This window comes from Homo sapiens, chromosome 16 (genome assembly GCF_000001405.40).
Source record: "Homo sapiens chromosome 16, GRCh38.p14 Primary Assembly".
Lineage (NCBI taxonomy): Eukaryota > Metazoa > Chordata > Mammalia > Primates > Hominidae > Homo > Homo sapiens.
In genome coordinates, this window is record NC_000016.10 from 31,105,574 (window position 1) to 31,131,431 (window position 25,858).

The 25,858-nt window shown below is 53.8% G+C and overlaps 2 protein-coding genes across 9 annotated transcripts, besides 10 other annotated features; both read left to right on the forward strand.

The window, feature by feature from the left end:
• Positions 113 to 929: an enhancer, noted in NCBI's record as "NANOG-H3K27ac-H3K4me1 hESC enhancer chr16:31117007-31117823 (GRCh37/hg19 assembly coordinates)". NCBI's record gives its function as "activates a minimal SCP1, AML or CMV promoter by ChIP-STARR-seq in naive H9 embryonic stem cells {active_cell/tissue: H9 hESC(naive)}" and the evidence as "EXISTENCE:reporter gene assay evidence [ECO:0000049][PMID:30033119]".
• Positions 2,537 to 3,430: an enhancer, noted in NCBI's record as "H3K27ac-H3K4me1 hESC enhancer chr16:31119431-31120324 (GRCh37/hg19 assembly coordinates)". NCBI's record gives its function as "activates a minimal SCP1, AML or CMV promoter by ChIP-STARR-seq in primed H9 embryonic stem cells {active_cell/tissue: H9 hESC(primed)}" and the evidence as "EXISTENCE:reporter gene assay evidence [ECO:0000049][PMID:30033119]".
• Positions 2,666 to 3,205: a silencer, noted in NCBI's record as "silent region_7409". NCBI's record gives its function as "represses an Ori minimal core promoter by ATAC-STARR-seq in GM12878 lymphoblastoid cells {active_cell/tissue: GM12878}" and the evidence as "EXISTENCE:reporter gene assay evidence [ECO:0000049][PMID:35858748]".
• Positions 2,813 to 12,067, forward strand: BCKDK (branched chain keto acid dehydrogenase kinase). Of its 4 annotated transcripts, none has more exons than XM_017022859.2 (12): positions 2,813 to 2,906; positions 3,474 to 3,845; positions 3,938 to 4,006; positions 4,100 to 4,210; positions 4,504 to 4,551; positions 4,632 to 4,751; positions 4,828 to 4,926; positions 5,115 to 5,188; positions 5,518 to 5,646; positions 5,727 to 5,816; positions 6,296 to 6,454; positions 11,890 to 12,067. In XM_017022859.2, exons 2-12 carry the CDS (start codon positions 3,651 to 3,653, stop codon positions 12,026 to 12,028), a joined length of 1,233 nt encoding a protein of 410 aa, XP_016878348.1. In that variant the 5' UTR covers positions 2,813 to 2,906; positions 3,474 to 3,650; the 3' UTR covers positions 12,029 to 12,067. The 4 variants fall into 4 exon arrangements, with proteins under 4 accessions (XP_016878348.1, NP_005872.2, NP_001116429.1 ...); NM_005881.4 differs by lacking the exon at positions 11,890 to 12,067 and adding an exon at positions 6,548 to 7,218; NM_001122957.4 differs by lacking the exon at positions 11,890 to 12,067 and having other exon boundaries at positions 6,296 to 7,265.
• Positions 3,431 to 4,323: an enhancer, noted in NCBI's record as "H3K27ac-H3K4me1 hESC enhancer chr16:31120325-31121217 (GRCh37/hg19 assembly coordinates)". NCBI's record gives its function as "activates a minimal SCP1, AML or CMV promoter by ChIP-STARR-seq in naive H9 embryonic stem cells {active_cell/tissue: H9 hESC(naive)}" and the evidence as "EXISTENCE:reporter gene assay evidence [ECO:0000049][PMID:30033119]".
• Positions 11,909 to 12,135: a silencer, noted in NCBI's record as "fragment chr16:31128803-31129029 (GRCh37/hg19 assembly coordinates)". NCBI's record gives its function as "represses an EF-1alpha promoter that drives an FKBP-Casp9 reporter gene in an ReSE screen in K562 erythroleukemia cells {active_cell/tissue: K562}" and the evidence as "EXISTENCE:reporter gene assay evidence [ECO:0000049][PMID:32094911]".
• Positions 11,909 to 12,384: a biological region, named in NCBI's record as "ReSE screen-validated silencer GRCh37_chr16:31128803-31129029".
• Positions 12,035 to 12,384: a silencer, noted in NCBI's record as "silent region_7410". NCBI's record gives its function as "represses an Ori minimal core promoter by ATAC-STARR-seq in GM12878 lymphoblastoid cells {active_cell/tissue: GM12878}" and the evidence as "EXISTENCE:reporter gene assay evidence [ECO:0000049][PMID:35858748]".
• Positions 12,091 to 25,820, forward strand: KAT8 (lysine acetyltransferase 8). 5 transcript variants are annotated; one of them, XM_011545971.2, is made up of 12 exons: positions 12,486 to 13,003; positions 13,126 to 13,283; positions 14,613 to 14,687; positions 14,766 to 14,941; positions 21,462 to 21,515; positions 21,616 to 21,780; positions 22,477 to 22,566; positions 24,444 to 24,584; positions 24,694 to 24,787; positions 24,883 to 25,033; positions 25,173 to 25,327; positions 25,622 to 25,786. In XM_011545971.2, exons 5-12 carry the CDS (start codon positions 21,474 to 21,476, stop codon positions 25,684 to 25,686), a joined length of 903 nt encoding a protein of 300 aa, XP_011544273.1. In that variant the 5' UTR covers positions 12,486 to 13,003; positions 13,126 to 13,283; positions 14,613 to 14,687; positions 14,766 to 14,941; positions 21,462 to 21,473; the 3' UTR covers positions 25,687 to 25,786. The 5 variants fall into 5 exon arrangements, with proteins under 5 accessions (NP_115564.2, NP_892003.2, XP_011544273.1 ...); XM_011545970.2 differs by having other exon boundaries at positions 13,131 to 13,283; NM_032188.3 differs by lacking the exons at positions 12,486 to 13,003; positions 13,126 to 13,283 and adding an exon at positions 12,091 to 12,319.
• Positions 12,555 to 12,674: an enhancer, noted in NCBI's record as "active region_10749". NCBI's record gives its function as "activates an Ori minimal core promoter by ATAC-STARR-seq in GM12878 lymphoblastoid cells {active_cell/tissue: GM12878}" and the evidence as "EXISTENCE:reporter gene assay evidence [ECO:0000049][PMID:35858748]".
• Positions 23,531 to 24,478: an enhancer, noted in NCBI's record as "H3K27ac-H3K4me1 hESC enhancer chr16:31140425-31141372 (GRCh37/hg19 assembly coordinates)". NCBI's record gives its function as "activates a minimal SCP1, AML or CMV promoter by ChIP-STARR-seq in primed H9 embryonic stem cells {active_cell/tissue: H9 hESC(primed)}" and the evidence as "EXISTENCE:reporter gene assay evidence [ECO:0000049][PMID:30033119]".
• Positions 24,479 to 25,426: an enhancer, noted in NCBI's record as "H3K27ac-H3K4me1 hESC enhancer chr16:31141373-31142320 (GRCh37/hg19 assembly coordinates)". NCBI's record gives its function as "activates a minimal SCP1, AML or CMV promoter by ChIP-STARR-seq in primed H9 embryonic stem cells {active_cell/tissue: H9 hESC(primed)}" and the evidence as "EXISTENCE:reporter gene assay evidence [ECO:0000049][PMID:30033119]".
• Positions 25,821 to 25,858: the final 38 nt, after the last annotated feature.

A 25,858-nucleotide genomic window follows, 5' to 3' on the forward strand; every position in this document is an offset into this window, starting at 1 on the left:
CTGCCTAGGAAAACCAGAGACCTTTGTTCACTTGTTTATCTGCTGACCTTCCCTCCACTATTGTCCTATGACCCTGCCAAATCCCCCTCTGCGAGAAACACCCAAGAATGATCAATAAAAAATAAAAATAAAAAAAAAAAAATAAAAAAATAAAAAAAAAAAAAAAGAAAGCCGCCTGACCTGTATACAGTATTCTGAAAAGGGGGTCGCGAGGTGCATGTCCAACCTCCGCCGCCGGGGGCAGCAGCGAGTCCAGGCCGAGCCGGGGCCTAGCGAGCGGGGTCAAATGGGGTGAGGCCTGTGCCAGACCTCTCCACCTCGGTGGCAGCCGCAGCCTCCTCCGCCTGCGGCTCCTGTCCACGCCGCGGCCACGTGAGCGCCAGATTCTGGCGCACAGACCACTGCCAGTCCTTTGCTGCTTTGCGCAGCCTGTCCTCCCCGCCAGGAGCACCCTTCCCGCTCCCTTTTACCACGGGCTCCAGCCGTGGCTGCCTTGGGGCTGCCGCCGCCTGGCTGTACTCCAGGACGTTGGGAAAGAACGGGTGGGAATGGTGTGGGTGGGGGTCAAAGAGGAAACCCAGAGATGCAGGGCGCCCCTTTCCCGTGGTCTGCCCCCAATTGCTCAGGCAGGCCAGTCACGGTGAGGCGTCCTCCCTCCAAGTTTATATTTATTATTATTTATTATTTATTTTTTTCACCTTCAAGTTTATTATTTATTATTTATTTATTTATTTTTGAGACGGAGCCTCTCTCTGTCGCCCAGGCTGGAGTGCATTGGCACGATCTTGGCTCACTGCAACCTCCGCCTCCCGGGTTCAAGCGATTCTTCTGCCTCAGCCTCCCGAGTAGCAGGGATTACAGGTGCATGCCACCACATCCGGCTAATTTTTGTATTTTTAGTAAAGACAGAGTTTCACCATATTGGCCAGGCTGGTCTCGAACTCCTGACCTCAGGTCATCTGCCCGCCTTGGCCTCCCAAAGTGCTGGGATTACAAGCATGAGCCACTGCACCTGGCTAACCTCCAAGTTTAAAGACAGCCGCCAGGCCCAGTGGCTCACTCCTGTAACCCCAACAACTCAGGAGGCTGAGGCCAGGAATTTGAGACCAGCCTGGGCAACATAGCGAGACCCCGGCTCTAAGAAAAATAGGCCAGGCACGGTGGGTTACGTCTGTAATCCCAGCACTTTGGGAGGCTGTGGCAAAAGGATTGCCTGAGGGGGAAAAAATCACCCTGGGGGTAGTGGTGCACACTTACAGTCTCGGCTACTTGAGAGGCTGAGGTGGGAGGATCATTTAAGTCGGAGGCTGCAGTGAGCTACTATGGAGCGACTGTATTACAGCTTGAGCAACAGAGCGAGACCCCATCTCCAAATAAATAAATAAAGATAGCCTCCAAAGATGTCACTTGCTTCACTTAGCACTTTTTATTGAACATATTTAGGAAATATATAACCATGGTAAAGAAAATTGCAATTAGTACAAATACACACTACACACATATGCACGTGCACACACTGAAACGTGTCCCTTCCAGCGCCTCCTGCCTGGATAATTTTTTTTTTTTTTGCAACGGAGTTTTGCTCTTGTTGCCCAGGATGGAGAGCAGTGGCGGGATATCGGCTCACTGCAACCTCCTCCTCCCGGGTTCGAGCGATTCTCCTGCCTCAGCCTCGCGAGTAGCTGGGATTACAGGCGCCAGCCACAACACCCGGCTGATTTTTGTATTTTTAGTAGAGACGGGGTTTTGCCAAGTTGGCCAGGCTGGTCTGGAACTCCTGAGATCCGCCCACCTCGTCCTCTCAAAGTGCTGGGATTACAGGCCTGAGCCACTGCGCCTGGCCTAAAGTAATTGTCTTCTTATTGGTTTCTCTGCCTTTGGTCTCACCAAACGCCCCACTCTAAATCACTGCAGACAAGGGGTTCTGTCTAAGGAGGAGAGCCCACCAGTTAAAACCCTTCAGTAGTTCCTAACTACCCTAGGACAAATGCAGACTTATCCTTCGCTCTCTGCTGCCGCCCCTCTCCTTCCCAGATCCCATATGGCTCCAGCCATATCCTCAGACCATCTGGGCTGTTGTCTGTCCTGCCACACACCCTTCCCACCCCGCTCCCTTGCAAGTCCTACTCAGGCTGCACCTACACAGCTGTCTCAGTTTCTATCTGAGGCTCCCGCAGCCTCCTCTGAAAGTCCTCATCACAGCCAATGATACTGAAACTGTTTTCTTATGCAGGGCACGGAAAGATCTATTCAACTCACTGCCCAATCTCCTCTCCTGGTGCAGAAAAGACACCCAGTCAGCGACTTGCATTATCTGCAGGCATGAGTGAATAATAATAATGCCTAACCCTTATATAGTGCTAATTCCACGCCTGGCACTGTTCTAGGCACTCATATAAATTCATGTAATCCACACAACCCCAAAACTGATGATATCTCTTCATCTTACCAAGCACTGAGCAGTTAAATAACTTGCTCCAGATATTAAGGGGTCGAGCTGGGGTTTGAAGCCTGGTTACCCATAAATGAACCAAGAACTGGAAGGAGGACAAGAGCTCCGAGAAGGAGTCAGGTAGGGCGTGATCTGTGCGCTTTACATCTAAGATCTTCCAGCTCCCAGGGAGCCCGTTTCATAGAGCAGGAGATAGAGGCTGGGAGGGACACGGAGAGCCTCGAGAGCCGTGTGGAGGAAGCGGTGCTGTTTGGGGTCCGGGAGCAAGGGCGTGGCCTGGATGCGCGGGCGCCCGGGACGGCACGTCCTCAGACCAAACTACAACTCCCAGGACCCAGCGGGCGCTGCCGCCCACGCGACGTCACGGCGGCGGAGGGCGCAGGCGGCTGGGCGCCTGGCGAGTGGACTGTTCGAGCCCTTCCGCTGGGACCCGGGCCCTGGCTCCGGCCCCGCGGTAAGTGGGGCGACCCCAGCCTACTCAGTCCGCGGAGGCCCCGCGGCGCACGTCCGCAGCCTCCATCACAGCGCGGGCGCGCAGACGGGGCTGGCATCTACCATATGGGGGGCATCCGGGCCGAACCAAGTGACCCGCGTGGGGGGTCCCGCTGGGGACTCCGTGCCGCACCCTCCCAAGCCGGCCCCAGGGGCCCAGGGCTGGTGTCGCACGTTCGCTGGCCGCGCTCCCAGGGCCCGGGTTTGAAGGCGCTGGGCAGGCAGGGGCAGCCCCGCCCCCTGAGAAGGGTACCCGGGACCCCGGGGCGCTGGGGCGAGGTTTTCGGGCTGGAAGGGTCTGAGGGGCTCCTCCCCCGACAGCCCTCCCACCGCCAGTAGAGCCTCGGGTTGGGGAATAGAAGCCCCCGGGAGGCTAGGTCCTTTGGGCGCGGCCTGTGTGCATCTGGGGAGACGGTGGGAGTGGTGGGGAGAGGTCGCCCGGGTCTGGGGAGACCGATGCACAGGTGGAGAGATGGTGCGGGTTCTGTGGATTCGGATCCTTACAACTTCCTCTTCCCCGCCCCGGTAGATGGGAGCTGCTCTCCGCGGGCTGAGCCTGTCAGCATCCTCGACGCACCCTGGTCCCTGAAGTCGGAGAAGAGCCCCTACCCACCCACACCCCCTTGCCCCATTTTGGGTCGCCTGGGTCCTCAGTCCTAGCGGATCCTCAGTCCTAGCGGCCACCGGGTCTGAAAGGAGCAAGACGATGATCCTGGCGTCGGTGCTGAGGAGCGGTCCCGGGGGCGGGCTTCCGCTCCGGCCCCTCCTGGGACCCGCACTCGCGCTCCGGGCCCGCTCGACGTCGGCCACCGACACACACCACGTGGAGATGGCTCGGGAGCGCTCCAAGACCGTCACCTCCTTTTACAACCAGTCGGCCATCGACGCGGCAGCGGAGAAGGTGCGCAAGGGGGCAGCCAGCCCAGGGTCCGGGATGTAGGCGGGAGGGAGAGTGTTGGGGGTTCTCTGCTCAAGGCCTCTCTCCCTCTCTAGCCCTCAGTCCGCCTAACGCCCACCATGATGCTCTACGCTGGCCGCTCTCAGGACGGCAGCCACCTTCTGGTAAGATTCACGCCCTCTATTTTCCTCGTGGATCCTGGAGCTCTCCCAGACACTCAGGCTCCAGCCCCGCCTTCCCTTCTCATTTTCTCCCAGAAAAGTGCTCGGTACCTGCAGCAAGAACTTCCAGTGAGGATTGCTCACCGCATCAAGGGCTTCCGCTGCCTTCCTTTCATCATTGGCTGCAACCCCACCATACTGCACGTGGTAAGGTAGAGAGGACCTTAGGTCAGCGGGCCACCCTGCCCCGGGGGCAAGTGGGGAGTCTGGGGCCCAGAGTGGCAGACGATTGCTTGCCTAAAGGTGTCAGGGCCACACAGGATTCAACCCCAGGCCTTCAGAAGCCAAAGGTGTGTATTCACGGAGCCTGGAAGGGTCGAAGTGGGGGTTTGATCACGTGGTCGACCAGCTGGGTGGTGATCCCCATGGGTAGGTGGGGGTGGCTGTTCTCTGCTCAGTGCCCATGCGGCTTTGTGAATTCCCACACCTCTTCCTTGCAGCATGAGCTATATATCCGTGCCTTCCAGAAGCTGACAGACTTCCCTCCGGTGAGTGCTGGGCCAGAGCAGGGTGAGGGGCTGAGAGGTTGGGCTTGGACCACCCTTCCTCATGACTCTGTGACCTGCAGATCAAGGACCAGGCGGACGAGGCCCAGTACTGCCAGCTGGTGCGACAGCTGCTGGATGACCACAAGGATGTGGTGACCCTCTTGGCAGAGGGCCTACGTGAGAGCCGGAAGCACATAGAGGTTGGGGCAGCAAAGGAGAGGCCGGGCCTGCTGGGGGTGGGAAGGGCACGGGATTCTGAGACCTCACTCTTTACAGGATGAAAAGCTCGTCCGCTACTTCTTGGACAAGACGCTGACTTCGAGGCTTGGAATCCGCATGTTGGCCACGCATCACCTGGCGCTGCATGAGGACAAGGTGGGGCTCTGGGACCTGAGACCCACCTGGGAACATTAAGTGAGACAGAGGAGACTGGGCTGGGGATCCGGGTCAAGGGCCTGGGGGCTGAGGCTGTGGGGCTGGTGCTTTGGGGCAGTTCCGAAGTTGCCAGCATCTTGGGGTGGGGCTAGGGGCGTGGGTAGTCCTGACCTCCTTTCTCCGGCCAGCCTGACTTTGTCGGCATCATCTGTACTCGTCTCTCACCAAAGAAGATTATTGAGAAGTGGGTGGACTTTGCCAGGTGAGGCAAGAATGGCTCAGGGGGTGGGCAGACATCTGGGGCAGGGAAGGCTTGGGTCTGAGCCCTTGCCCGGGGCATGATCTGCGGGGAGCAGGGTTTCTCAACCATGGCACTATTGACATTTCCAGCCAGATAATTCTTTGTCACAGGGGCTGCCCCGTGCACGTTAGGAAGTTCAGCAGCATCCCTGGCGCCAGCAGTACTGCCTAGTTGTGACAAACAAAAATGTCTCTGCACATTGCCATATGTTACTTAGGGGGGCAGAATTGTTTCCAGTTGCAAACCACTGGTGGAGGGGCCCCTGACTGAACCCTCGCTCCTATCCGCAGACGCCTGTGTGAGCACAAGTATGGCAATGCGCCCCGTGTCCGCATCAATGGCCATGTGGCTGCCCGGTTCCCCTTCATCCCTATGCCACTGGACTACATCCTGCCGGAGCTGCTCAAGAATGCCATGAGGTGGGGTGGCTTGATGTGCTGGCTTGGGGGCGGACAGGAACCGGGGTGCTTGTACCTACTGGTCTTTCCCCTCTGCATAGAGCCACAATGGAGAGTCACCTAGACACTCCCTACAATGTCCCAGATGTGGTCATCACCATCGCCAACAATGATGTCGATCTGATCATCAGGTTTGCCCTGAGTGGGAGTTGAGCTGAGGTGGATGGGATGGGGGTCTAGGCACTGTTTCTGACTTGATTTAGGACCTTGAGCCCCTTCCTGCCCCATTCTGGGACTTGGTCCCTGACCAGACAAACTATTCTCTGAATCCTGAGATGGCCATGAGCTGCTTATTAATGGATCTGGGGCCAGCTGCAGGCCTAGGTATCCTGCCTCTGTCAGCAGCTGAGGAGCTTGAAATTGAGAAATAGTCAGGAGTCGGTCTAGGATGCTGGGCCGAGGATAAATGTCACATCCTGTGAGAAGGTATAAGCAGTCAGTGGCCCTGGCAGGGGTGAGGATGATATAAACAAGGCCCAAGGGTCTAGGTGGACCACATTCCAGCTCTGGGTGGAAGGAACAGGAAGGCAGACTTTGCACTGTCTGCTTGGGGGGTGGTGAGTACCCCATCAAAGCTGAGCCAAGCCCATTGTTGTTGCCATCTTGCTAGGATCTCAGACCGTGGTGGAGGAATCGCTCACAAAGATCTGGACCGGGTCATGGACTACCACTTCACTACTGCTGAGGCCAGCACACAGGACCCCCGGATCAGCCCCCTCTTTGGCCATCTGGACATGCATAGTGGCGCCCAGTCAGGACCCATGCACGGGTGAGACCCTGCCAGGCCAGGATGGAGGGGTGGGGGACCCCAGGAGACTCAAGCCTCTGAAGCCTCCTGTCCTGTCCCCCTGCCCACCCCCAGCTTTGGCTTCGGGTTGCCCACGTCACGGGCCTACGCGGAGTACCTCGGTGGGTCTCTGCAGCTGCAGTCCCTGCAGGGCATTGGCACGGACGTCTACCTGCGGCTCCGCCACATCGATGGCCGGGAGGAAAGCTTCCGGATCTGACCCCACAGCCTTTGGCCTGCTCACCCGACCAGCCTGGGCCGCATTCCCTGCAGGACCTCCCGGGTCAGGCAGGGCGGCCCCCTGCTCCACACACTGCTGCATCTTGGGTCTCAGGGACCCAGACAGATGGACTTACATGGAGCTGGGCACTGCCCTGCCTCAACAGGGTCCATTGCCTCCTCGCCTCCAGAACTTGGAGCAGGGAAGTGGGCACCCTGAGGCCTCCAGCACCAGTTCCGTCATTCTCGTTCCTGGGGAACCCCCACTCTGACCTGTTATTAAAGTTCACATTTTGAATGCCCTCTCGGGCCCCGTGTGTGGGGAGGGCAGGTGAACTTTTGTTTCTGCCCCCATTCAGGTTCACTGAGCCCTTGGGTTGAACTGGTTCGTGTCCCAGTCTCTTACCTGCCCTGAGAGCCTGGCAGGCCAGGAGTAGAATGGGTCCCAAGTCTGTTGCATGTTTGATTTGGTGGGAGTGGGATGACTGCAGCACCTTATACAAAGAGCTTTCATTCATCTTGTTGAACAAATGTTTCCGGGTCCCAGATAATATTGAAGGCCCAGACTGACCCAGCTTCGGGCATCAGTTTTGACTCTTCCTTTCCTGGCAGTCACAGTTTCTAGAGGTGAAGGTCACCAGACTGGGCAAACTCCTGAGCCAACTGCTTCCCAAGCCTGAGTAGGTTAAAAATACTGTGTCTGCTGCTGCCAAGGAAAAGAACATACAAGGTTGTGCCTTGGCAGGCCCTAGCAGGGACTGGGTGCCCCACTGCAAGGAAAGGTGGGGCCCTGATAGAAAGGACCAAGGATTTGGGCAAAGATATCAGGTAGGCTCAAGGTTAGACCTGAATCAGAACTCCAGATGACATCTTAGGTAGGAACACCCTACCCACCTTGCCAGGGAAGAAAGGCCTAAGGGCGGCCTGGTGGGGCTGGGAGGAGAACTGGAAAGTTCTCTTGCCTTCACATGTGAGCTCCCACAGCAAACTTCCTGAGGCTGGCTCTAGGCCTGTACCATCTCCTACCCTTCACGGGGATGGAGGGGAAGTTGTATGTGGAAGCCAAATGGCAGGGGCTAGGAAACCACAGTGACTTGCTAGACTGAAAAATCCCGCCAGCTGCAAGGCAGGGTGCTGAGGCTGGAGAGGCAGGCAGCAGTCAGAGGCCAGGGCCCTGAAACATGGGATTTATCTTGAGCCATAGGGATCCATGGGTGAGTTTTTATTTATTTAGAAATGGGGTCTTGCTCTGTTGCCCAGGCTGGAATATGGTGGCTGCAGAGTTCACTGCAGCCTTGAACTCCTGGGATCAAGAGATTCTCCCACCTCAGCCTTCTGAGTAGCTTGGACCATCATGCCAGGCTAAATTTTAAAATTTTTTGTAGAAACAGGGTTTCTACAAAGCCCTATGTTGCCCCGGGCTGGACTTGAACTTCTGGGCTCAAATGATCCTTCCACCCCAGCCTCCCAAAGTGGTGGGGTTACAGGCATGAGCCACTGCAGCTGGCCCATGAGTGGGTTTTGAGCTGGGAAGGGATGTTTCTGGTTGGAGTCCCTGAGAGGATTCATGTCCACGTGATTTCTTAAGAAAGTGCTCCCAGAACAGAGTAGGGGAAGTAGGAAGGGGAAGGGGAGGAAGCCAAGCAAGGATGTGACCTCAGGCAAAAGCCCAGAACCAGTCAATTATGCCTCAGGGTTGAAGGTAAGAGAGCTAAACCTCAGAGTTACTGATTAATTTCTCCACTTGGCAGTCACTGGTTAAAGTCAGTTGGGAAAGTGAACAGCTCTATTAACCTAAGGATGGTTTTTTAAGAAGAGCCTCAGGTGCTGGTGTGGGTCTTTGAAAGCACATCAAAGGTAATCTGGGCACACAGAAACAGCAAGAACTCCCAGAGGATCTGGGTGGAGCACCTACATTGTTTTTTTGTTTGTTTTGTTTCGTTTTGTTTTTTTAAACGGAGTCTCAATCTGTTGCTCAGGCTGGAGTGCAGTGGCTGGATCTTCGCTCACTGCAACCTCCGCCCCACCCCCCCCCAACCCCAGGTTCAAGCGATTCTCCTGCCTCAGCCTCCCGAGTAGCTGGGATTACAGGCGCGTGCCACCACACCCAGCTAATTTTTCTATTTTTAGTAGAGATGGGGTTTCACCACGTTGGCCAGGCTGGTCTCGAACTCCCAACCTCGTGATCCATCCACCTCAGCCTCCCAAAGTGCCAGGATTACAGGCATGAGCCACCATGCCTGTCGGATGTTTCTTGATTTGTAACCTCTGAGAGACCCATCCGCAGGCCCTGAGCATTCCACTCCTCTCAGAATTGTTTCCAAGCCCAATAACCACATTATAAATCAAACAAGATTCAGAGAATAGCCAAAGGGAATGTTTACTGAGTACCTACCCGGTCTGGCACTTTGCAATACACTTGTATATTGCTAAGACGGATAGTTCAACCGTTACATAGTTATATGATTGATAGTTATACATGCTTAACTGCTGGGGATTGGTTCCAGGACCGCCTGTGAATACCGAAATCTGCAGGCGCTCAAGTCCTACAGTTGGCCCTGCCAAACAGCAGATATGAAGTCAGCTCTTCAGATCTGTGGGTTCTGCATCCTTACAATATTTCCTTTCCTTTCCTTTTCTTTTCCTCCCTTCCTCCCTCTTTTTTCTTTTTCTTTTTTGAGATGGAGTCTTGTTGTGTCGGCCAGGTTGGAGTGCAGTGGCGCGATCTCGGCTCACTGCAACCTCCACCTCCTGGGTTCAAGCAGTTCTCCTGCCTCAGCCTCCCAAGTAGCTGGGATTACAGGCACACGCCACCACCCCTGACTGTTTTGTATTTTCAGTAGAGACGGGGTTTCACAATGTGGGCCAAGCTGGTTTTGAACTCCTGACCTCAAGTAATCCACCTGCTTCGGCCTCCCAAAGTGCTGGGATTACAGGTGTGAGCCACCGCGCCCAGTCTTTTTTTTTTTTTTTTTGAGGCAGAGTTTCACTCTTGTTGCCCAGGCTGGAGTGCAATGGCACAATCTCAGCTCACCACAACCTCTGCCTCCCAGGTTCAAGCGGTTCTCCTGCCTCAGCCTCCCGAGTAGCTGGGATTACAGGCATGCGGCCACCACGCCTGGCTAATTTTGTATTTTTAGTAGAGATGGGGTTTCTCCATGTTGGTCAGGCTGGTCTCGAACTCCCGACCTCAGGTGATCTGCCTGCCTCGGCCTCCCAAAGTGGTGGGATTACAGGAGTGAGCCACTGCGCCCAGCCTCCTTTTCTTTCCCCCCTTTTTTTTTGAGACAGGGTCTCTGTCACCCAAGCTGGAGTGCAGTGGAGGGATTATAGCTCACTCAGCCTCGACCTCCTGGGTTTAAGCGATCCCTCTGCCTCAGCCTCCTGAGTAGGTGGGACTACAGGTGCGGGCCCCGAGGCCCAGCTAATTTTTTTTTTCCCCCAAATTTTTAGTAGAAAGGAGGTCTCTATGCTGCCCAGGCTGGTCTTGAACTCCTGGCCTGAAGCGATCCTCCTGCTTGGATTCCTGAAGTGCGAGATTACAGGTGTGAGCCACCATACCTCAACACTGTATTTTCAACCCGCTCTTCGTTCAATCTCCAAAGGTGGGACATGCGGATATGGAGGGCCGATTGTGTATGGTTGGACCATACACATATAAATGGCTTTAACCTTTACTGACTCTCACAGAACCCTCAGTGCAGTGGCGTGATCTCAGCTCACTGCAAGCTCCACCTCCCGGGTTCACACCATTCTCCTGCCTCAGCCTCCCGAGTAGCTGGGACTACAGGGGCCCGCCACCACGCCCGGCTAATTGTTTTGTATTTTTTTTTAGTAGAGACGGAGTTTCATCGTGTTAGCCAGAATAGTCTCGATCTTCTGACCTCGTGATCCACCCGCCTAGGCCTCCCAAAGTGCTGGGATTACAGGCGTGAACCACCGCACCCGGCCTTTTTATTTTTTTTGAGATGGAGTCTGGCTCTTGGTCCCCAGGCTGGAGTGCAATGGCGGGATCTCGGCTCACTGCAACCTCCGCCTCCCGGGTTCAAGCGATTCTCCTGCCTCAGCCTCCCGAGTAGCTGGGACTACAGGTGCGTGCCACCACGCCCGGCTAAATTTTGTATTTTTAGTAGAGACGGAGTTTCACGGTGTTAGCCAGGATGGTCTCGATCTCCGCCCGCCTCGGCCTCTCAAAGTGCTGAGATTACAGGCGTGAGCCACCACGCCCCGCCCAACTCGTCCTTTCTTTAGACTTTATCCTGTGAGGGTGAATTATGGCCTGTCCCTGGACACACCCGTTCTGCTTTCCCCGCACCAACTGTATCCCAAATAGGGGAAGTAGTCTCTTCAACCTTCAAAAATGGGGCACTGGCTGGGCACGGTGGCTCACGCCTGTAACCCTAGCACTTTGGGAGGCCGAGGCGGGCGGATCACCTGAGGTCAGGAGTTCGAGACCAGCCTGGCCAACAGGGTGAAGCCCTCTCTCTACTAAAAATACAAAAAATAGCCGGGCGTGGTGGCGCGCGATTGTAATCCCAGCTATTCAGGAGGCTGAGGCAGGAGAATCGCTTGAACCCGGGAGGCGGAGGCTGCAGTGAGCCGAGATCGCGTCACTGCACTCCAGCCTGGGCGACAGAGCGAGACTCCATCTCAAAAAAAAAAAAGGGGGGGGGGCGGGGAGCGACATTAGGCCAGCGCGAGTGTGCGGCTCCAGGCCACCAGGGCGGCCGCTCTGGCTCTGCCCTGTTAAAGTGGGGGCAGCGCCCGCTGAAAATTGGCACATCTTGGCTTCCGCAGGTACCAGGGCCTTTAAAAAGGTTCAGCTGGCCGGGCACGGTGGCTCACGCCTATAATCCCAGCACTTTGGGAGGTTGAGGCTGGCAGATCACGAGGTCAAGAGATCAAGACTATCCTGGACAACATGGTGAAACCCCGTCTCTACTAAAAATACAAAAATTAGATGGGCGTGGTGGCGCGCGCCTGCAGTCCCAGCTACCCGGGAGGCTGAGGCAGAGGAATCGCTTGAACCCGGAGGCGGAGGTTGCAGTGAGCCGAGATCGCGCCTCTGCACTCCAGCCTGGGCGACAGAGCATGATTCCGTCTCAAAATAAATAAATAAATAAATAAATAAATAAATTAAAAAAAGGTTGAGTTGAGTCATCGCATGAGGTAAGTCTGTCTCCTCTCCTCACCCATAGGCTGCAGCCACAGGTCCGCACGGAAAACCAGGAGCTCCAAGACTGCCGCACACTCAACATCCAACTCGCGGGGCCGCGGGGACGGCCACAGAAGCCAATCGGCTCCTGCTACATCACAGACCCCGCCCTCAAACCTTGAGGAGCCCGCCCCACGCACTGCTGACCCGGAGCCAAAAGAACTGCGTGGCGTCCGATTCTGGCGTCACTTCCCTTCCCGCGATGGCGGCACAGGGAGCTGCTGCGGCGGTTGCGGCGGGGACTTCAGGGGTCGCGGGGGAGGGCGAGCCCGGGCCCGGGGAGAATGCGGCCGCTGAGGGGACCGCCCCATCCCCGGGCCGCGTCTCTCCGCCGACCCCGGCGCGCGGCGAGCCGGAAGTCACGGTGGAGATCGGAGAAACGTACCTGTGCCGGCGACCGGATAGCACCTGGCGTGAGGGCGGGGCCCAGGGCTGGGGGCGGGGCGGAGCTCAGGGCCAGGGGGTGGGGCGGGGCCTGAGGACAGGCTGTCAGTGAGGCCAAGATCCGGGGGCTGGGAGTGGAGAGGAGGAGGGGCGGGGCTTGAGGAAAGAACGCCGCGTTCCGGGCGCTGAGAAACCAGCCGGGTTGTGGGAGGCTGTTGACCTTGAATTATGCCGAGCGACGCCTACAAACCCACCGCTCAGGCCTTCACCAGGATTGTTCCCATTCCACTTCCTTGCCCAGTCTTAGGCTTCATTCCTTTTTCTTGCTAACGCTGCTTCCTCACCCTCTCTTGTCTCTGCGTCTTCTTTTTCCATTTGTCCCTGGCAGCCATCCGCAGAGAGAAGACCTTCCAGAAACAACAGGCTTCCCTTTCCTAAAGTTCTGCTGCCTTCTCTCATTTTCAAAATTAACCCCAAACTCCTTAGGGTGGCATTCATTTTTGTGACCTCTCCAGTTTCTAGCCAACACTAGGAAAGGGCATTGCCAGGCCAGAACACACTGTGCCCTCTGAAGACCACACGCCCTTTACCACCTGTGCCCTTTGCTTGGAATGCTTTTTCTTCCCTTTCTCCTTGTTTGCCTGCCTAGCTCCTACTCATCCTCTTAGCTTCATATCCTTTGTGATGTCATCCTTGATTCCCCTTCAGGCAAAGTGAGTGGTTCCCTTCTCTATGTTCCTGCAACATTTTTTTCCTACCTCAGTCATAGTTTTTGTAACATTATGTTGTAATTTTCTCTCTCTGTCTTCCTCCATCATACTGGGAACTTCTGGAGGGCAGCACTTCTTGTGATTCATCACTGTGTCCTCTGTACCCGGCAACAACACAGCATAGGGCCAGACACGTAGTGGTTGCCTTACTCATTTATTGAATGCTCTGCTAATTGTCAGGTGCGCTGCTAAAAATTTTGGAGGCATTAATTCACCTTCTAAGGTTGGTACTATTATCCCTTTTGTCTTTTTTTTTTTTTTTTTTTTTGAGACAGGATCTCGCTCTGTCACCCAGGTGGGATTGCCGTGGCACGATGACAGCTCACTGAAGCCTAGACCTTCTAGGCTCAAGTGATCCTCCCACCTCACCCTCTCAGAGTGTTGGGATTACTGGCATGAGCCACTGTGCCCAGCTGTTATCCCTTTTCACAGATGAAGAGACTGAGGCTCAGAAAGATGGAATAACTTGCTCAGTTACACATAGCTAGGAAGTAGGGAGCTGGAATTTTGTGTATTTTTTTTTGTTTGTTTGTTTGAGATGGAATCGCTCTCTGTTGCCAGGCTGGAGTGCAGTGGCGCCATCTTGGCTCACTGCGATCTCTGCCTCCCGGATTCAAGCGATTCTCCTGCCTCAACCTCCTGAGTAGCTGGGACTACAGTTGTGCGCCACCACACCCAGCTAATTTTTGTATTTTTAGTAGAGACGAAGTTTCACCATGTTGGCCAGGATGGTTTTGACCTCTTAACCTCGTGATTCACCCACCTCGGCCTCCCAAAGTGCTGGGATTACAGGCGTGAGCCACGATGCCCAGCCCTGGAATTATACATTAATGTAGGTTATCTTAATCCAGAGCCAGCACTCATGATCCCTGAACAAATGAACAACTGCGGGTATGTGGTAAAATGAGCATTGAATTTAGAGTCAGACTTAAATTCAGTTAAGTATTAGCTCTTACCACTTTTCAAATCTGTGACCCTAGGTAAGCCTCAGTTTTGTTCTGTTTTTTGGGGTTCTTTTTTTTGAGACAGAGTCTTGCTCTTGTCACCCAGGCCACAGTGCAGTGGTACAATCTCGGCTCACTGCAACCTCTGCCTCCCGGGTTCAAGCAATTCTCCTGCCTCAGCCTTGCCTCCCAGGTTCAAGCAATTTTCCTGCCTCAGCCTCCCGAGTAGTTGGGATTACAGGTGTGTGCCACCATGCCTGGCTTTTTTTTTTTTCGTCTTTTTGGTACAGATGGGGTTTTGCCATGTTGACCAGGCTGGTCTCAAACTCCTGGCCTCAAGTGATCTGCCCATCTCGGCCTCCAGAAGTACTGGGATTACAGGTGTGAGCCACACACCCAGCCAGTTATTTTCTCATTCGTAAAATGAGAATAACAGCCTCAACCTGATCCACCTCACAGTTGTGGCAGTGATTGAGTAGAATGGCAGAGGTGGACCAGTGAGGTTAGCTGATGTGTGGCCCTGAACTCTGGAAACTGCTTCTCAGTGTGCAGGATTCCTTTTGTTCCAGCCTTACCTTCCTGATGACCCTAGCCTTTTTCCATCACAGATTCTGCTGAAGTGATCCAGTCTCGAGTGAACGACCAGGAGGGCCGAGAGGAATTCTATGTACACTACGTGGGCTGTGAGTGGCTTGGCACATCTGGGCGTGGGTGCAGGGAGTTGGCTGCCCTGGCAGCACTCTTATGGCCCATACTTACAGTTAACCGGCGGCTGGACGAGTGGGTAGACAAGAACCGGCTGGCGCTGACCAAGACAGTGAAGGATGCTGTACAGAAGAACTCAGAGAAGTACCTGAGCGAGCTCGCAGAGCAGCCTGAGCGCAAGATCACTCGCAACCAAAAGCGCAAGCATGATGAGATCAACCATGTGCAGAAGGTCCGGATCCCTTCCCATCCACGGGCCCAGGAGGCCCAGCTTCTCTGCCAGTTCCCTTGGGTCTCTCGGGCCCCAGTGCCAAAACCATAGCAAATCCCATTTCTTAAGCTCCTGTAGTGTGTCAGGGACTTTACCTACTTCCTCTTACTTACTTTTCATAGGTAAGAAAACAGACAGAGGGTAAGGGCTTCGCTGCAGTCTCACAGCAAGGAAATGGCACAGCTGGGACTAGAACTCAGGCCTCCGGCACTGGTAGCCTCTTTTGTCTCCTAGTAGCTGTGTCTTAGTAGAAAAAATGACTTGAAGTTCAGTGGGAAAGACGAGAATGTTATTCGGCAGTTGCTATAGCCAAGCACCCTGCCAAGTGCTGTATATGTATAAGCTCCTCAAATCCTTCCCAACAATTCAACACACAGGAATAGTTACTTTTTTGGTAGGTGAGGAAGCAGGCTGAGAGAGATTAAGTAACATGCCCAAGGTCACACAGCCAGTAAAACGGTGGGCTGGAATTAGAATAATAATGCCAAACACTTGTTAGCCGGTGAGCAGAAGTATTCAGCTAAATGGTTTTTGTGTGTGTGTGTGTGTGTGTGTGTGTGTGTTTTGTTTTTTGTTTTTTTTTTTGAGACGGAGTCTTGCTCTGTCGCCCAGGTTGGAGTACAGTGGAATGATCTCGGCTCACTGTAAACTCCGCCACCTGGGTTCAAGCAATTTTCCTGTCTCAGCCTCCCAAGTAGCTAGGACTACAGGTACCTGCCACCACGCCCGGATAATTTTTGTATTTTTAGTAGAGACGAGGTTTCGCCATATTGGTCAGGCTGGTCTCGAACTCCTGACCTCAGGTGATCTGCCCACCTCGGCCTCCCAAAGTGCTGGGATTACAGGCGTGAGCTACTGCGCCCGGCCTAAGCTAAGTGTTTTAATACATGACCTCACTGACATTTCACAGTAGGCCTGTGAAGTAAGCATGCAGAAGAGCTACAGATAAGTTTAGGGACCCAGACAGGAATTTGATCAACCAGCTAAATTGTGCTACCTCAGAGCCAGAGGCCTTAGCAATGATTTTGGTTTTTTTCTTAAGAGACGGGAGTCTTGGTGTGTTGCTCAGGCTGGACTTGAACTCCTGGGCTCAAATGTTCTTCCTGCCTTAGCCTTCTAAGTAGCTGGGACTACAGGAGTGCATCCCTGTACCTGCCTTGGTTTTTTCTTGTATTGATACTTAATAATTGTACATATTATTGTTATTTTTTTTTTTTGAGACAGCGTCTTACTCTATCGTCTAGGCTGAGTGCAGTGGCACAATCATGGCTCACTTCAGCCTCAACCTCCTGGGCTCAAGCAATCCTCCTGCCTCAGCCTCCTGAGTAGCTGGGACCATAGGCACGTGCCACCATGCCCAGCTAATTTTTTATTTTTTTGTAGAGACGGGATCTGCTATGTTGCCCACACTAGTCTCAAACTCCTGGTCTCAAGCGATCCTCCTGCCTTAGCCTCCCAAAGTGCTGGGATTACAGGTGTGAGCCACTGCGCCCGACCAAGTCTCAGTTTCTAAATTTATAAAAATCAGGAGTGCACACCAGAGCAAGATTTGTCAAAGTCTCCAGACACCCAGACATTTGTTACTTTCAGCTATTGCAGCTTCATCCTTCTGAGTACATGAGTTAGTGGGCAAGCCCAACATTTAAATTTCTTTAAATGGAAGAAAGAAAGTGGATAAGATAGAAAAATCAGGGTGTTGCACTTTATTAAGTGTAGGTATTGTTTTGAGAAGCTTTTATTTCACACCCAATAAAAGTGTGCAGGATTCCTCTTGTTCCAGCCTTACCTTCCCGATGATCCTAGCACATACTTGTGTGTATATACAGACATGTTACAGTGCCAAGTGTACTTCCTACTGTGGTGTGATTTAAAAAATTGAAATACCCTAAACTGGAAGAACTCCTCAAGGTCTAAACTGCCGAATCGAACTTCCTATTGTAATGGAAATGTTCTATAGCTGTACTATCTAGTACCGTAGCCACTAGCCACATGTAGCTGTTGAGCACTTGAAATGTGTCTAGTGTGACGAAGAATTAAGAATTTTAGCTGGGCGCGGTGGCTTACGCCTGTAATCCCAGCACTTTGGGAGGCCAAGGTGGGTGGATCACCAGGTCAGAAGATCGAGACCATCCCGGCTAACATGGTGAAACCCCATCTCTACTGAAAAATACAAAATAATTAGCCGGGCGTGGTGGCGTGCACCTGTAGTCCCAGCTACTCGGGAGGCTGAGGTAGGAGAATGGCGTGAACCCGGGAGGTGGAGCTTGTAGTGAGCCGAGATCCTGGGCTCACTCCAGCCTGGGTGACAGAGTGAGACTCCGTCTCAAAAAAAAAAAAATTTTTAAATTATGGGTGCAGTGGCTCACGCCTGTAATCCCAACACTTTGGGAGGCGGAGGTGGGTGGATCACTTAAGGTCAGGGGATTGAGACCAGCCTGGCCAACATGGCCAAAACCCCATCTCTACTAAAAATACAAAAATTAGCCGGGCGTGGTGGTGCACACCTGTAATCCCGGCTACTTAGGAGGCTGAGGCAGGAGAATCGCTTGAGCCCAGGAGATGGAGGTTGCAGTCAGCCAAGATCATGCCACTGCACTCCATCCAGCCTGGGTGTCCGATCAAGACTGTCTCAAAAAAAAATTAATTATCATTTTTTAAAAAAATTTTATTTTTATTTTTTCGAGACAGAGTCTCACTCTGTTAACCAGGCTGGAGTGCAGTGGTGCGATCTCAGCTCACTGCAACCTCCGCCTCCCAGATTCAAGTGAGTTTCCTGCCGCAGCCTCCCAAGTAGCTGGGACTACAGGCACGCACCATCATGCCTGGCTAATTTTTGTATTTTTAGTAGAGATAGGGTTTCACTATGTTTGGCCTCAAACTCCTGACCTCAACTGATCCGCCTGCCTCGGCCTCCCAAAGTGCTGGGATTACAGGTGTGAGCCACCGTGCCCAGCCAAAATTTTCATTTTTTGAGACAGAGTCTCACTCTGTCACCTAGGCGGGAGTACAGTGGCGAGCTCTTGGGTTACTGCAACCTCCGCCTTCCTGGCTTAAGCAATTTTTGTGCCTCAGCCTCCCAAGTATCTGAGATTACAGGCGTGTGCCACCACACCCAGCTATTTTTTATTTTTTATTTTTAGTAGAGATGGGGTTTCGCCATGTTGGCCAGACTGGTCTGGAACTCCTGGCCTCAAGTGGTCCTCCCACCTCGGCCTCTCAAAGTGCTGGGATTACAGGCGTGAGCCACCACGTTTAGCTGAGTATAATTTTAAATAGCCCTATGTGACAAGTGGCTACTTTATTGGACAGTGTAGATCTAAGATTAATTCCTCAACTGTTTTGCACTCAACAAAGACATACCTCTGAGTTGGCAACCAGCAGGGTGGATAACGGGCCAGTGGTGATAAAATCAAAGAATAGGTAATGAAACAATCATCCAGTTAACAATCAGCAAGGTTCTTCAGAGCCTAATTAATGTTTAATTCTAAATAAATTGCAACAATTAAGAAAAGTAGTGTTTTTGTAGTTCTTTATTGCATTTGCAGAAGAGTACTGTATTTTGTGAGAATTGGGAAATGTGTTTTAAAGAGATGTGTGAGGAGGAAAATCTTTCTTCCTCATCTTTACAGTGGTTAGGTTCAGAATTGGACAGACCAGGGGCCCATGCCCAACTCTGCTGAGTACCAGTTCTGTGACCTTGGGCAAGTGACCTCACCTCTTTGTGCCTCAGTTTTCTCTCATACAACAGGGACAATGAGCACTCTTATTTCAAAGGCTCATTGTGAGGAACAAAATGAAATAATGTCGGCTGGGTGCAGTGGCTCATGCCTGTAATCCCAGCACTCTGGGAAGCTGAGATGATTGGATCATTTGAGGTCAGGAGTTCGAGATCAGCCTGGCCAATATGGTGAAAGCCCGTCTCTACTAAAAATACAAAAAGAGGCCAGGCGCAGGCAGACCACGAGGTCAGGAGTTGGAGGCCAGCATGGCCAACATGGTGAAACCCTGTCTTTACTAAAGATACAAAAAATTAGCTGGGTGTGATGGTGCACACCTGTAATCCCAGCTACTTGGGAGGCTGGGGCAGGAGAATCGCTTGAACCCAGGAGGCGAGGTTGCAGTGACGTGAGATTTTGCCATTGCACTCCAGCCTGGGCGACAGGGCGAGGCTCCATTTCAAAAAAAAAAAAAAAAAAAAGGCTATGGCTCATGCCTGTAATCCCAGCACTTTGAGAGGCCAAGGTGGGTGGATCATCTGAAGGTCAGAAGTTCAAGACCAGCCTGGCCAACATGGTGAAACCCCATCTCTACCAAAAATACAAAAAATTAGCCGGGCTTGCTGGTGGGCGCCTGTAATCCCAGCTGCTTGGGACACTGAGGTGGGAAGATCGCTTGAACTCAGGAGGTGGAGGTTGTAGTGAGCCAAGATTGCACCATTGCTCCAGCCTGGGCAACAAGAGCAAAATTTCATCTCAAAAAACAAAATAAATTAGCTGGGAATGGTAGCAGGCACATGTAGTCTCAGCCACTTGGGAGGCTGACGTAGGAGAATCACTTAAGCCCAGAAGGCAGAGGTTGTGGTGAGCTGAGATCTCCCCACTGCACTCCAGCCTGGGCGACAGAGTGAGAGTCTATCTCAGAAGAAAAAAAAAAAAACATGTCTGTGCCGTGCTTGCCACTTGGAATAAATGGCAGCTCACTAGTCCCCGAGGGTAAGGGACCTCACCTTGCCCTGCCTGTTTACTACTCTGTAAAATTGAAATAACGCAGCTGGGTGCAGTGGCTCACGCCTGTAATCTCAGCACTTTGGGAGTGCGAGGCTGGTTGATCACCTGAGGTCAGGAGTTTGAGAACAGCCTGGCCAACATGGCGAAACTCCATTGCTACTAAACATACAAAAATTACCTGGATGTGGCGGCATGTGCCTGTAGTCCCAGCTACTTGGGAGGCTGAGGCAGGAGAATTGCTTGAACCTGGGAGGCGGAGGTTGCAGTGAGCCGAGATGGTGCCACTGTACTCCAGCCTGAGCAACAGAGTGAGACTCCGTCTCAAAAAAAAAAAAAAAAAAAAAAGAAATAACACTCTATGTAAGGGTTACTGAAAGGATTAAATGAGGCCATATAAACATATAGGCACAGTGCTTTGTGGAGGGGGTTCTGGGTAAAGCACTGGCTCCTTCCTCCCTTCTCAGCTACAGGGCAGGGCCTTGTCTGCCCTGGTGTAGGTCATGGACCGTCTTGGGTCCCCCTTCCATTGTCAGGCTGTACTGGGTTCCTCCCACAGGGTCTGGCCTAGGAGCAGGATGTGTTGTGAGTGTGGTGTGACTCTTAGTCTCTGCTTTCTAAGGACTTGAAAAATAGAGGAACCCAGGTGGGCATACTTGGACAGTGTTGCCCTGTTGACCACTTCTCGCTGAACTTGGGAAGGAGGGAATGTTTTCTGGATGGGAAGAATCCAGTCAGGCCTCCTGGAGGGGGTGGTAAGAATCTCAAGCCTTGAAGGATGGGAAAGAGCACAATAACAACAGTGACAAAGGATAGATCACAAAGCATCATGGACTCACCTGACTCATGCTCCGTGCCAGGCTGAGGAAGTGTTTTCTGCTGGCAGTGAGAGAAGGAAGGGCATTCTCCAGGTAGAAGGAGCTGTTTGTGCAGAAGCATGAAGGCCGCTAAAAGGGGGCTGCTGATAGCAATGAGGAGGCTGGGGCTGGAGGCAGGGAGTCTGAGGCGGCCTAGTAAATTGTCCAGACCTGAGATGGGGCCATGACTACCTGGAGCAGGACAGAGAGGAGAATTCCAGAGAGGGCCCAATTCCAGAGATGTCAGAAGTAGACTCGACATCCACTGTATTAGGACTTGGCCAGGCCGAGGGAGAGAGAGTAGTCTGAGGCAAGCCTAGTTATGGGTCTTGGACACTGGGACCAAGGGTGATGTTCCCAGTAAAATGAGCAACCCAGGAGGAGGCGCAGGTTTGCAGGGAGGAGTGATGAGGTCCTTTCTGCACATCTTGAGTCCGCTGTCCCTGTGGGAGGGACCTCTGGGGCAGTCGCATGGGCAGGCAGGGTCTGGTCCTCAGGAAAGGGGTCCAGGAACATCGGGGAGGTAGTAACAGTTCTTACGCTGGGCCTGGAAGGCAAATCTGTTATTTCATTTGAGTCTCACAACTTTGGCAGAGCTGGATTGCCCCCCATCGTGCAGCTGAAGCCCCATCCTGATCCTAACCCTGTTCATCTGGCAAAAGGTCCAAACTTGGACATCAGGGATGTCTGGGATATCGGGGGTGGGGCGGGTGGGTGTGAGAGGAGTCTGGACCAGCCAGCTTCAGAACCAAGTCAGATAGGTTAGCTATTGGTGTGGTTATTATTGCCATCCAGGAATGAGGTCTGGTAGACGGCAGGGAAGCCTTGTGGGTCCTGACGGGAGGGACAGCCTGGTCACCACTTCTGTTCACCTCTGCCCACTTTTCTTTCCTGGCCCAGACTTATGCAGAGATGGACCCCACCACAGCAGCCTTGGAGAAGGAGCATGAGGCGGTAAGTGGGGCTGGGAAGCTGCCTGCAGGTCCCCCGTCTCCCCTTGCCGAGGAGCCCCTGCTGAGCCGTGCACTGTGCCTCACTCCCACCCTGCCTGCAGATCACCAAGGTGAAGTATGTGGACAAGATCCACATCGGGAACTACGAAATTGATGCCTGGTATTTCTCACCATTCCCCGAAGACTATGGGAAACAGCCCAAGCTCTGGCTCTGCGAGTACTGCCTCAAGTACATGAAATATGAGAAGAGCTACCGCTTCCACTTGGTGAGGCTGGGCCGGCCGGGCCGAGCTGGGCAGGGGCCCGGTGAGAGGCAGAGGCAGGCATGGAGACTGAGGGCGGCTGCGCCGGCAGCTCCAGGGAGGAGACAGGCCCAAAGGAGCGAGTACAGGGAAGAGCTGCTGGGGGTCAGGAGGCCTGGATTCCAGGCCTGGCTTTGCTGTTGCTGGCAGGGTGACCTTGCCAACTTCAGACCTCAGCTCCTCTTCTCTGGAATGGGGACAGTAACTCACCCCCTTCAGGTCTTTTGCCAAGGCCAGCTCCATCCCAGGAAGCACACATAGCCCCTGGCAGTGGGACCTTAAGTGTGGATGAAATTGGGGGCTGTCAGGAAGGGGCGCTCTCATCACTGACACAGTGGGCTGCTTCCCGAAGTGTGGAATCTGAAGCGAATAGGTGTGGTTTAGGGAAGCCATTGTCATGGACGGGTCCCTCCAGAGCCAGGCCCACAGAGACTCAAAACCCCACCGTGCTGTGTGATGTTTGGATCTCTGTGCCTGGGCCTTGGTCTGTAAAAGCAGGATCACTTTCCTAAGGCTGCTGGGAGGATTACTCGATGTAGGTGAAGTGTTGAGGGGGGAAACAGAGAGGCAGAGACTTGCTCCAAAGCATGCAGTGGTGGGTTGGGTGCCTCCTAGCAGAGAACATATGGGCAGCGAACCTGTTCTCTTGTCCCCGACCAGGGTCAGTGCCAGTGGCGGCAGCCCCCCGGGAAAGAGATCTACCGCAAGAGCAACATCTCCGTGTACGAAGTTGATGGCAAAGACCATAAGGTGAGTGGGTGGCCAGGGGTTGGGAGAGGCCGGGGAGGCCCTGGGCACCTCCCAGATGATCCTCATCACCACCAAAGGGGAGGGGGCAGCCTTAGCTGAGCCTCTATGGGCAGAATGCCTCTGAGGGGCCGGGCACTGCAGCTCACACCTGTAATCCTAGCACTTTTGGAGGCTGAGGTGGGCAGATTGCCTGAGCTCAGGAGTTTGAGAGCAGCCTGGGTAACATGACGAAACTCCTCGACTAAAAATACAAAAAATTAGCTGGCGTGGTGGTGCGCACCTGTAATCCCAGCTACTCGGGAGGCTGAGGCACAAGAATTGCTTGAACCTGGGAGGCAGAGGTTGCAGTGAGCTGAGATTGTGCCACTGTACTCCAGCCTGGTCGTCAGATTGAGAATCTGTCTCAAAAAAAAAAAAGAAGGCCTCTGAGGGCCTCCTAGCCTGGCACTAGGCCTGTAGTTGGTGCATAGGAAACACAGGGCCTTGTGGTGGCCCCAAGACTCTTCTGCTGGTGGGGTTAGGTTCAAACTTGGGTTGTTCTGGAACCCAGAGGAGATTTTCTTGCCTGAGGCTGCTTTTAGAAGTGCTCTCTCCTTCCGTTGGAAAGAAAGGTGTTTGTTTTTGCCTGGGAGGGGACTGCTTTGTGTGAAATTTCCTCCTGAGAGAGCTCTGTGGCTTTCAAGGTTTGAGTTCCTTGTTCCTGGCCCCGAATGACTTCAGCAGGGCAGGTTGGGGCCTTTGGGACCTGCCTAGCTGTTGTAGAGAACTTGGCCTTTGCCTTATCAGTCTGGGAGGGTCTGGCCAAGTGTACTGGTTTCCCGCAGATGGGCCATACAGCACAGGACAGAGAGGGCAGGCTTCAGGGTGGCTCATGTTGCCTTGTCACTTCCTCACTGACCACAGACAAGTTACTTAACATGGTTTGTTCCTGTTTCCTTGTCCATAAGACGGGAGTCATAATATTTAATATTTACCTAGTTGTGTTGTTAGTGGAATAAATGAGACAGCAAATGTCAAGTGTTTAGTGCAGTGCTTAGCACTAGTATGTGCTTAATAAACACGGGCCTTGTTATTATCGGTGACCTCTTGGGGCTTGATTAGCCTTGGACTCGGAGAATACGCAGGCTGAGCCCAGCCCTTGCCCCTGCTCTGCCTTCCTGAGCATGGCTGTGTGGAATAGCAGAAGGGCCCCCGCTGGAGATGTGGGGGTGCTTTCCAACTGCGCTCTGCCAGCTTTGAGGCTCTGGGCAAGCACTTCCACTCTGGGAGCTTCAGCTTCCTCCTGAGTAAGATGGGCCTGGCAGTGCTGGGCTCGCACAGCTGCCGGGTTGGATGAGAGAGTGGCTGTGGTGTCATAAACCAGGGAGCCCCTTAGTGTGTGCCGTGAAGCCAAACTCGGTCCCATTGTCCCCCTCCTGGAGTGCAGCCAAGTGGACAGACAGGGCTCGAGGTTCCTCCATTCAGCAGACGTTTACCAGGCACCCAGCTTCATACTTAGACTCGTGCTAGGCGCTGGGGACACAGCCATGAACAGGACGGTCTAAATTCCTGCCTCGGAGCCTCAGTTTCACGAGCTGAAACAGAGTTAATGTCTGTGAAGACTGAAGCAGATCCTGCATGGAAGGCACCCAGCTCGTATTTGGCACTCAGAAGGGGTGGCCGGGCTTCATCCAGCTCCACTGGCACCTCCGAAGTGCTGTTGCTCTCTCATTTCCAGTTCCCTGTTCGTCAGAGGCTGACCGAAGACTCCTTCCAGTGTGAAATCCTTCTGGCCTGGCGAGGCGCCCACTTCGCGTGGGCTGGTGCCGGCCGCTGGAACCAGCTGGGTGGGGCCTGTGCCTGCCCCCTGAGCCTGTCTCCCCCCTCCTCAACCCTAGATTTACTGTCAGAACCTGTGTCTGCTGGCCAAGCTTTTCCTGGACCATAAGACACTGTACTTTGACGTGGAGCCGTTCGTCTTTTACATCCTGACTGAGGTGGACCGGCAGGGGGCCCACATTGTTGGCTACTTCTCCAAGGTGCTGGGTCTGGAAACTCGGGGTGGGGAGGGTGGGGAGGGCGAAGGTGGGCATGAACAGAGAGTGGGGCAGAGCCTCCCCAGCGGCCCTGAGCACCTGCCTCCTGCAGGAGAAGGAGTCCCCGGATGGAAACAATGTGGCCTGCATCCTGACCTTGCCCCCCTACCAACGCCGCGGCTACGGGAAGTTCCTCATCGCTTTCAGTGAGTGGTTCCTGGCCTGTCTGGGAGGGGGAGACCTGTGGGGCAGGGGTGCCAGGGCAGGCTGGATCCTAAGTTCCTCTTTCTACTGCTGCCAGGTTATGAGCTCTCCAAGCTGGAGAGCACAGTCGGCTCCCCGGAGAAGCCACTGTCTGACCTGGGCAAGCTCAGCTACCGCAGCTACTGGTCCTGGGTGCTGCTAGAGATCCTGCGGGACTTCCGGGGCACACTGTCCATCAAGGACCTCAGGTGAGGGGGCCTCCCGGGCCCTGGGGGCAGGACTTGCCCTGAGATGGGCCACGATCCTGCTTCCTCATACCCTGTCACCATCCTGGCCAGATCCCACAAGGGCACCAGGTCTGGCATTTGCTCTCATCCCTTTTTGCAGCCAGATGACCAGTATCACCCAAAATGACATCATCAGTACCCTGCAATCCCTCAATATGGTCAAGTACTGGAAGGGCCAGCACGTGATCTGTGTCACACCCAAGCTGGTGGAGGAGCACCTCAAAAGTGCCCAGTATAAGAAACCACCCATCACAGGTGGGTGGGGGGCTGCTGTGTGTCGGGGGCGGTGGGGGAGTGTCAGTATATGGACTGGTAGGAGTCAAGGCCTCCTTATTGCTGTCACATGATCCCAAACCAGTCAGACCAGCTCCCAGGATGGAGCCCGGGGCAGGCCTCTCATTCCTGGGCTTCCCTACCCCTCCCCAGCACAGCCTGCCCTTTTGTTCTCACCTGGAGGAGGTGAAACTGGCCTGAGCCCAGAGGAGGGCAGCCAGGTGTGAGCTGGCCTGGCCCAGGCCCAGCCCTGCCTCCCGCCCCTTCTCCCCACAGTGGACTCCGTCTGCCTCAAGTGGGCACCCCCCAAGCACAAGCAAGTCAAGCTCTCCAAGAAGTGAGCAGCCTGGCCCCTGCTGTCGGACCTGAGCCTCCTGGCTCCCAGCCTGTAAATATGTATAGACCTGTTTTGTCATTTTTTTAATAAAGTCAGTTCTGGTGGCCCTGGACTTTGGAGGGGAAGGGGAGGCCAAGAGCGGATGTTCTTCATTTCACTTCACACATGCACGGCAA

What these genes read in the sequence shown, in the direction of transcription:
- KAT8 (NM_182958.4), top strand. Translation starts at nt 12,109, where the DNA reads ATGGCGGCACAGGGAGCTGCTGCGGCGGTTGCGGCGGGGACTTCAGGG. An exon ending in GCGACCGGATAGCACCTGGC is followed by an intron (nt 12,320 to 14,612) that starts GTGAGGGCGGGG and finishes TTTCCATCACAG; the next exon opens with ATTCTGCTGAAGTGATCCAG. An exon ending in TTGTTGGCTACTTCTCCAAG is followed by an intron (nt 24,585 to 24,693) that starts GTGCTGGGTCTG and finishes TGCCTCCTGCAG; the next exon opens with GAGAAGGAGTCCCCGGATGG.
- BCKDK (NM_005881.4), top strand. Translation starts at nt 3,651, where the DNA reads ATGATCCTGGCGTCGGTGCTGAGGAGCGGTCCCGGGGGCGGGCTTCCG. An exon ending in TGGCGCTGCATGAGGACAAG is followed by an intron (nt 4,927 to 5,114) that starts GTGGGGCTCTGG and finishes TTCTCCGGCCAG; the next exon opens with CCTGACTTTGTCGGCATCAT. An exon ending in CAGTCAGGACCCATGCACGG is followed by an intron (nt 6,455 to 6,547) that starts GTGAGACCCTGC and finishes GCCCACCCCCAG; the next exon opens with CTTTGGCTTCGGGTTGCCCA.